Genomic DNA, 9,606 nt, shown 5'->3' on the forward strand with positions numbered 1-9,606 from the left:
GGAGTTCAAATAAAAAATTAAAATGTTACTCCATTAAAAAAGGAAAAAGAATGTGTAGCTTTATATTTTGTTTCCCTTTTTTTAAAAAAAATTAGTAGACCAAGAGTCCATTAATTTATTCATTCTGGTTTCCGATTAAAACAACTCCCATGTGCTTTGTAAACTCTCCAGTGTAATTGCCCATGTGCATTAGACTTCACTGGTCTTCAACATCAGTTTTTCCCAGTAATACGAAGTAATCTTTTCTAGTATCTGAGTCATATTTAATGGCTTTCTCTTCTGCAAGAAAACAAAATCTGTGTAGTTAGGGTAAGCTGTGCATTAAAGACATTATTCAGACACCTTGATAGATAATAAAAAGAAGTGTTTTTTAAAAGGAATATTTTTTCATTTAAAATAGTTTTTCCTTTTTTAAAGAAATATTTAGGGTTAGTGCAGCATTAATTTGCAGATGACTTAACCTACACAAATATTCAGCAGAGGAAAAAAGTCACATTAATTGAGAGACAGTATCTTGTAATTTGTGACTTTAATTGATTGGTGGGGGTGGGGAAGAATGTGTCCTTTTGTTAGACATTTATTCTCAGCTTCCATTTGAAATTCTAGCTTTTAAGGATTTACTCCATTGAACTTGGAACTTTCCAATAGCCACGCAATAAAATGCAATATAAATATTCCTGTACAATAAATACTACTGTCATTTAAGATTTAGCCTATGAAAAGACTCCTGGAAGCATAGGCCCCAGTGTAGAGGCCTGAGGAAGAAAATAATCTGAAGGAGCTGAGTAGGATGCTGGAGATGGAAGGATGACGCCAGTGACGACTTTGACCTGTTCTGTAACTGCACTTTAAGTGGGGCTGATTGATTTGGAGTACAGTGAACAAGTGTCCGGGAGAAAAGCGAAGCTACTACTTAATTTTCCTCAAATACATTTCTCCAAATACATTTTCTAAATGCCCACTATTTGCTAGACATTTTGCTAGAAGTTGAAATAATGAAGAAAAAGATAATAATTCCTGTACTTCTGGAGCTTATTGTTTAGGGTAATTAAAATGGAAATAACTATCCTGGTAAACTGAATCAATAATAACAACAAATAACAGTGAAAATGGGATGATAATACTAGTAGTTTCAGTTTCATTTGAACTGTTTTGTCTTCCAGTAATATATTTTAATTTACATATGTAACATTTATATTTATATATATACTGCTCATTGATACATTTATATATAGTTAACAATAGGATAAAAGGCAGGACAGTGTTATTCATAGGACCCAGAATAATACTTGGTACATAACAGGCACTCAATCAATGACACTGTATGGATAAATAAAATTGTCTTGGATGAAAAATCAGGAGACTATAGTTCTTACTGAAATTCTACCAATTTTTCTTTGTGACATAACAAGTGATTCCCAGTTTTAGTTTTCTAATCCATATAATGGAATAAAAATACCCATTCTCCACACCTTACAAAGTAGCAGCTCCTTGGGTAGGAAAAAGATAGCAGATATGTAAGACTTGTGAATGTTATTATAGCCAGTAAACAATCAAAATGAAATGGAGCATTTTCTTACTTAACTAAGATAGTTCCCTTTTTTGAAATAAGCTTTCTGATTGACGTGTTTCAGTGAAGTGAAAATCATTTTACTTTAGAACATTTAATTGTATTACCATCAGACAAGTATTTTTGTGAAATTTCTAAGAACCTAGCATCTCTTAGAAATTTAGCCTAATAGAAGTGACTTGGGGCCCTATAAGAATCTCAGTGCATCTTTCCCAATCCTTTCCCATTTCTGGACAGACGTTTCCCAAAGAAATCCTTGGTTCACCCTTCTTCAACCTGGAATGCATAAAAGAATAAACTATCACTTGAAGGCAATCTGACAACAGACTAAGAGAGAGGAGCACACTCAGAAATTTGAGATTAAGATAGAAGAGGCATGTTTTATTCAAAGTTCAATATCCATTTATTTTGAGGATAAGGGTGTCTGTGTTGTGACTCATGCATGCTGTGAAAAAATGCCAAGTGTCTTGATAACTAATGTTAGTAAGGAAAGATTCACCAAGAGGGGGCAGAAGCTCATGAAATGCTAATCCTTGAATTCAAGAGTAAGAATCAATTTCAGATTTTCATGTTTTTGGAACATTTCAGAGGACTTAATATTTTAGTTAAAAATCTATATATTCTGAGAGTAATGATAAACATATTTCTTTGCTACGATTCATCTCTGAGGTTTCTTTCCTTTCTTACTGCTTTGGCTTTCCCATTTTGCTTTTGTCTTCTTGCTGCCTCTCATCTTCCCTCTAAGCATTCAGATTAAAATTCCATTCCTTTACCTTCTTTAAAAAATATGATTATAAATGTGCTCCCTTTATGGTATGTGATGAAAAAGCATAAACTTTAAGCCAGAAAGACAATACTTTCTTTGAAACCTCTCCTTTAACAAATGATTTTTCAGAGCTTTAAAAGCCCATAAAGAGAGTATGTTTTCTCCAGCCATTGAAGGTATGATAAATGATACATCCTGAGAGTGAACGGAAGAGTCATTTTAGAAAGTTTGAAGAACAAATACTCAGGCTTAGTTAGGGATTGTGTACTAACAAGAGGTACAAGGCAGTTAGGTGAATGACAATGTATCAAATTAATCCTATAAAATGACAAGGACAAACACTGGGGACCTCCATTGTGAAATGTCTTGGAGTAAAGGCTTAGCAAGAAGTCAGTCTTGCATAAACGTAAAAGCCAAACTCTTTTAAAAAATACGTTACCAAAGATGATTTATTTTTATGTGAGAATAGCTCTTTAGAAATTATTTTAGACCTTTTTCTTGAATATCAATATTGATTTAGCTAATAGGACATGTCTTTTTTTCATCTTTATACAACAATGACTTCAAAAGAGGAGAAGGGGACTCAGAAGGAGCAATGACAGACTATGAGCACAGAATGATTTCAAAAACTTTTGCATTTGAACACAAAAGTGAGTCAATAAAACCATAGCCTCCTTCAATTTGTAATTCAAACACATAAAATAATTTGACTTCAATAGGCAAGGCAAATTCTCACTTACTTGGAAATTTCTCAGGTACTACAGAAAGCCAAGGAGAGGACTTTAAGGGAAGAAAACATGTTTGACTAATGATTAATAAAACTATTGTTGATCCAAAGTATTGTTGAAAATGGAATCTTTTCAACATCTGAAATATATCTTGATACAAAATGCAATCCTGTTGAATTACTTCAAAAGAAGTACTGGCTCTGTATTAAGAAATCTGGATTTAATGCATAAATAGATGGATTTAATATCTTTGTATTAGACAGTTTTGAAAGAAAATTGGTATAGCCAAATTCATATATTGTTTCATTTGCATATCTTGAGTCTGGTAAATGTAGCTACAGAGAAAACACATTTTTTTAAAAAAAGCAACCATGCCACTTGCTCTTTTTAAATTGCTTTGCTGCATTTTTAAGAGTTTTAAAAATGGCTACTTGATGTGCATGAAACAGCAACTGTTGCTCATTCTGTCTTTACCTCTACTCCAGTGAAGATAAGTTTTGAAAAGGAATACATTAGAAATACATCAAAATACATAATGCAATGGAAATGAGCTTTACTATTTTTTTAATCCTCCATTCCAAGCACTTCATCTGCCCTGCAGAAGAAAATGCCTCTCACAAAACCCTCACAGCCACCTATCACTGTGACCACATTCATAGCTCCATCTAGGCAATTGGCACGGATCAGGAAATATGATAGAACTGTAAAGAACAGGCTGTCCATCATTAGAATAATAGCAGAGTTTTGGTTGAGAATAAACACAGTTGAATTATTTGTAAGGACGTGGAATAGATGAACCGCTTAGAAAGAACACTTCTTCAGATGACTTTTTCCTTCTTCCTCTTTCCTGTATGCCACAATAATTCAAGAAGGTCATTTCAGCTAATAAAAAGAGCAAAGTGAAACACTAAAAATAAAACACTTGGATTTCAAAGATGTACTGAGACTTCTTAAAGAAGTTTGAAAGATCAAAACTCTAAATAGAATATATTACAAACCACAGAATTTGGGATTACTCAATGACCAAAAGATCTCTGAGAATTTTGAAAGGAAGCTGATAAACAATTGTTCCACATCACTAATAAACCCAACCTTATTTTTAAAGAAAGCAAAACAGTGCTATGAGCATTTTGCAGTTCCTTTTCCCTTTGTTATTTTTTGTTCCAATATACAAATATTTAAATATTTTAAAAAACATAAAAATTATATTTGATATATTTACAATGTGTGTGTATATCTATAATAGATTTAGAAAAATAAATAATAAACATTGGTGAACCAATCAACCAACTCAAGAACTAAAAAATATTAACATGACTTTCATCTACCCATATACACTTTGCATGCCCATACTCCTACCTTTCCACCAGAGAAAACTACTGTAGTTACTTATTTACACATACACACACACATGCACATAGACACACAAACACATATATGTAGCTTTTTTGACATATGCATGTAAGCCAAAGTCAAATATAACCTAATATTATTTCTGTTGAGATTTATAAAAATAGTTTCATATCTTCTGTAGTCTTATAGGACTTTTCTGTTTAACATCTTAAGATGCATCCATAGTTTTTACAAATAGTTGTGTTTCATTCACTTTAACTGCTTTTTCATATTTAATTGAGTAAATATAACACCATTAATTTATTTGTTCCTTTGTCATAGTACATCTTTGTAGCTTCCATATTTTATTATTAATCATACCCTTATGAATATTCTTGCATGTATCATAAGCACATATATAAGTTTCTCTAGGGTTCCTACATAAAGGTAGAATTATTGGTTTGCAAGGCACATGAATGTTTAACTTTGCAAAATAGTATCAACAGGTTTTCCAAAAAATTTTCAAATTTGCAATCTTGGCAGCAATTTGTATGAATTTCTGATGATTCACATTCTCCTCAGATTATAATATTTCTTAATTTTTTTCCACTCTAGGGGGTATACATAATAATTACAAAATGATTTTATTAATTAATAGTTCCTATCTCATTGTAGTCTAAATTACATTTCATTTATTGCACATTTAACAAATATTTTTTGAATGCCTACTATCTCGACCTGTCAGACCTGTATTGACTCTAATGAGAGGATGCTATGTCTGAGAGACTGAAGAAAAGGCCCAAAGCCAGCGAATGAGACGTAAGGTTTATCAAGGGAACTTACATATAAGGCAGTCCAGTGGTGACAGCCTAGGCAGGAGAACCGTTTGTAAAAAGATGCAGTTTTGTACCATTTGTAAAAAGTCGAAAGTTTATACAGTTTAGGTGCGTCTGCATTCTCAGGGGATGCTTAAGTTACGGCTATGAGTATGTCTACCATGCAGAGTCATTCTCAGTATCCTTCATTTAAGTTATTGCTCTCAGGTATGTCTGCCATACATATGTTCCAGGAACTGCTAATTATGCTGTAGATTTAACAATAATAAAAAAAATCCCTGCTCTCATGAAGATTAAGTTCAAATAGGTCAGAGACTGAAAATAAACTTAATAAATAAGTGAATTATATAGCACATAAGAAGGTAACAAATGTCATTGAGAAAAATAAAGTGAGATAGGACTCCCATAGCAGAGAACCAGTTGAAATTTTAAATATAATAGTCAGAGTTGACTTTCGTAGTAAGCCATTCTTGCATTGCTATAAAGAAATACCTGAGACTGAGTAATTTATAAAGAAAACCAGTTTAATTGGCCCATGGTTCTGCAGGCTGTACAGGAAGCATAGTACTGACATCTGTTTCTGGCAAGCCACCATACCGAATTCTCATTATTTCTATAAATTTGTCTGTAGATAATTTTGCATATTTTATGTGGTCAACCATGTCATCTATGAATCGTAACCATTTTCTTCTTTTAAATATTCTTCAAATACTTATACCTTTAATTTAATTTTTCTTACTATATTGGAAAGGATCCTCAATAAAAGTAGCAATTGTTTGCAATCCTTAATTTATTCCTGATTTTGAAGGGAACACATTTAATGTTTTGCTATTAAGAGGATATTTGTGATATACTTTGATACCTATCTTTTATCAGGCTAAGCAGATGCCTCTCTTCTTAGTTTCCTATTGTTACTGTACACAAGAGATGTTGAATTTTATAACATTTCCACATTTCTTAGATGATCTTATGGATTTTTTCCTTTAATCTATTCATGTAATTTAAATATATTTTCAATGCAAAAAGCATATTTGTATTCCCAAGATAAGCCCAACTTGGGCATGGTGTATTTTTGAATATTACTTTGGATTCAGTTTGTAAATCTATTGTTTATAATTTATATCTATTTTTATAAATGAAACAAAGCTATGAGTTTCCTTGCTAAAACTCTCCTTTTCTCATTTATAAATGATTCCAGTATTGCTAGTTCTTGGCTGTCAAATCCAGTATATGGAATTTGTCCATACTAAACTTGTGAACAGTATCTTAATTACTCCTGTGGGTTTTCCAAACACTGACATAGCATTCAGAAGCTTTGTGTTTGGGCCACTAGGGTCTTTTAAGATACCAAATACTTGATTAATCTAATGAAATCAGTACCCAGTCAATATATGTTAGGTCCACTGTGTTTTTGTAATTCATAAATGACTATTATTAATATTTTATGCTTATAGATGAGCAGCATAAGAATGATGATTCTATTGGGCTGAGATGTAGTAAGTTGAATAGTGTAGGAAGGTGACATTTTGAACATATGAATGTTAAGTTGGCATCACTATGTAAAGTGTCTACTGTTTTGTTTGTGTGTTTTTTTCTTGGTAACAATTTTGCATACGCACCTTTCCTAGACCCCTGTCCTAGCCATCCGGGCCTCTGTTGTTATGTCTGCTTGCTTTTAGATTATCTAATGAACATTTCTAAGTTAACAGTCTTACTAATAGTAACTACTTGACTAGTTTACCCTAAGGTCAGAGATTTAAGTTGAAAGGCTCTTTGGATTGTTGTCATTTCTAGCTTTCACCAGAGCACAGGATTTGTCAAATAAATATGAATAATTAGGCCCAGAAAACTTTAAAATAACAACTTAGAAGAAAAATTTAAACCACTAGCTTTATAATATTAAGAAGTTGTTTAAATGGATTAATTATGCTCTTCACAATGTGGACTTAAACATTTGCTTTAGACAAGTGGCACTGGGTTTGAAAACTTCAAAAATGTATTTCTTTGACAAATTGAGGTGCTTCTTATATAGCGTTGCCAGATAAAACACCTGCACCTACTCAGTTATCTCAGGACCAGCTTGAGGCTGAAGAAAAGACAAGATCCCAGAGATCATGGCAGACTTCATTTGTCTCTTCCGGAAGAGAACCTTCCCGGTAAAGATACCGGAAAGGCTGGACGCTTCGGTTATTAGAGGATTTTGGAGATGGAGGTGCTTTTCCAGAAATCCATGTGGCTCAGTATCCACTGGATATGGGACGAAAGAAAAAAATATCTAGTGCGCTGGCCATTCAGGTGGATTCTGAAGGAAAAATCAAATATGATGGAATCACTCGACAAGGACAGTCAAAAGACAAGGTCATTTATAGCAAATACACTGTCCTGGTTCCAAAGGATGTTACGAATGCAAATGATCCAGACTTGCAAAGGCCCGATGAAGAAGCTATAAAAGAGATAACAGAAAAGACAAGAGTAGCCTTATAAAAAGCTGTACCACAGAAGGTCACCGCAGTCACGCCAGTTCAGGCAGCTGACAAACCGGCTCCTGCTCAGTATATCCGATACACACCATCTCAGCAAGGAGTGGCTTTCAACTCTGGAGTTAAACAGAGGGTTAGTCGGATGGTAGAAGTGCAGAAAGATCCAACGGAGCCTCCAAGGTTCAAGATTAATAAGAAAATTCCCCGGGGACCACCTTCTCCTCCTGTGCCTGTCATGCATTCTCCTAGCCGAAAGATGATTGTAAGGGAACAGCAAGAGTAAAAGTTTCCTCCTTTTATTTCTAACTGGAAAAATGCAAAGGGTTATACAATTCCATTAGACAAACGTCTGGCTGCCGAAGGAAGAGGACTACAGACAGTACACATAAAAGAAAATGTTGCCACATTGGTGATCCTCTACATTGCTGATCAGAAGGCTTGTGAAGCTGTGGAAATGCGTGCCCGAGTAGAGAGAAAAATGGCTCAGAAAGAAAAGGGAAAATATGAAGAGAAACTTAGAGAAATGGCACAGAAAGCCAGGGAGAGAAGAGCTGGGATCAAAACTCATGTGGAAAAAGAGGATAGGGAGGCACGTGAGAGGAATGAAATCCGGCATGACAGGCGAAAAGAGAGACAGCATGACCAGAATCTTTCCAGGGCAGCTCCTGATAAGAGGTCGAAACTGCAGAGAAATGAAAATGGGGATATCAGTGAAGTCATTGCTCTCTGTGTTCCTAATCCTTGAACTTCCAATGAAGGTCAGTACGACCAAAGGCTCGTCAACCAATCCAAGGGTATGGACAGTGGATTTGCAGGTGGAGAAGATGGAATTTATAATGTTTATGATCAAGCCTAGAGAGGTGGTAAAGATATGGCCCACAGTAGTTATAGGCCCAGTAAAAATCTGGACAAGGACATGTATAACGATGACCTAGAACCCAGAATAAAGACCAACAGATTTGTTCCCGACAAAGAGTTTTCTGGTTCAGGCTGTAAGCAGAGAGGCCGAGAAGGACCAGTTCAGTTTGAGGAAGATCCTTTTGGTTTGGACAAGTTTTTGGAAGAAGTGAAACAGCACGGTGGCTCTAAAAGACCCTCAGATAGCAGCCGCCCCATGGAATATGAGCATGAAGGCAAGAAGAGGAGGAAGGACTAGACACAATTTTCTTCCAAGTGAATTAATTATTATTATCTATAACCCTAATGATGCAAGTCATATGGGGGAACACTTTGTAAATGGTCAGGATAAAAACCAAATCTGGCTGCCAGATCCCAGCACTACTTTTTTACTGGAGAATGGAGGGGATAGAAAATTCTACTTTGAAGTATTTTTTTTAAAGAGTGGACTGTGTTTGTGCTTCTCCCACCTTTCAGCATTTATAGAACATGCTGTCCCACATGCAAAATCAAGACCACTTCCTTTTGTGTGACATTTATAGTTTGGGGTTAATATTTTGTGTGAGAACAGCTGCATATGAGTAAAGGAGGGTGTTCACATATTGTAACAGTCCTGCCAAATAAATTTTGTCCTTATTGTGCTCCGTTTTAATTTGGAGTGGGCAAAGTAAGCTCTTGCTTGGTGCAACTATTTGATTTAAATAAAAATATTTAGACAAAAAATGAGATATACAATATTTGGGACATATAAAAAATATTTGTTTGTCTGAAATTCAAATTTATCTAGGTGCCCTATATTTTTGTTTACCAAATCTGGCAACCTTATTTCTATGTAGATTAAAAACAAAAATAAGCTTTCATAAAAGCAATGTGCAATTCTGAAGCAGCACTTAACTCATCTGACTTAGTATATTATGTAATTACTTCAATTGGTTAGAATCTAATTAGATTCAAGCAAACGCAAATCAATTTGAGATATTTTGTTCATGTGCATTCT

At 34.4% G+C, this 9,606-nt stretch overlaps 1 pseudogene; it reads left to right on the forward strand.

Annotated features, from left to right (window-relative positions):
* Positions 7,281 to 9,065, forward strand: LOC652549 (SNW domain containing 1 pseudogene; annotated as a pseudogene).
* The last annotated feature ends 541 nt before the right edge of the window (positions 9,066 to 9,606 follow it).

Source organism: Homo sapiens, chromosome 1 (genome assembly GCF_000001405.40).
Source record: "Homo sapiens chromosome 1, GRCh38.p14 Primary Assembly".
NCBI classification, from domain to species: domain Eukaryota; kingdom Metazoa; phylum Chordata; class Mammalia; order Primates; family Hominidae; genus Homo; species Homo sapiens.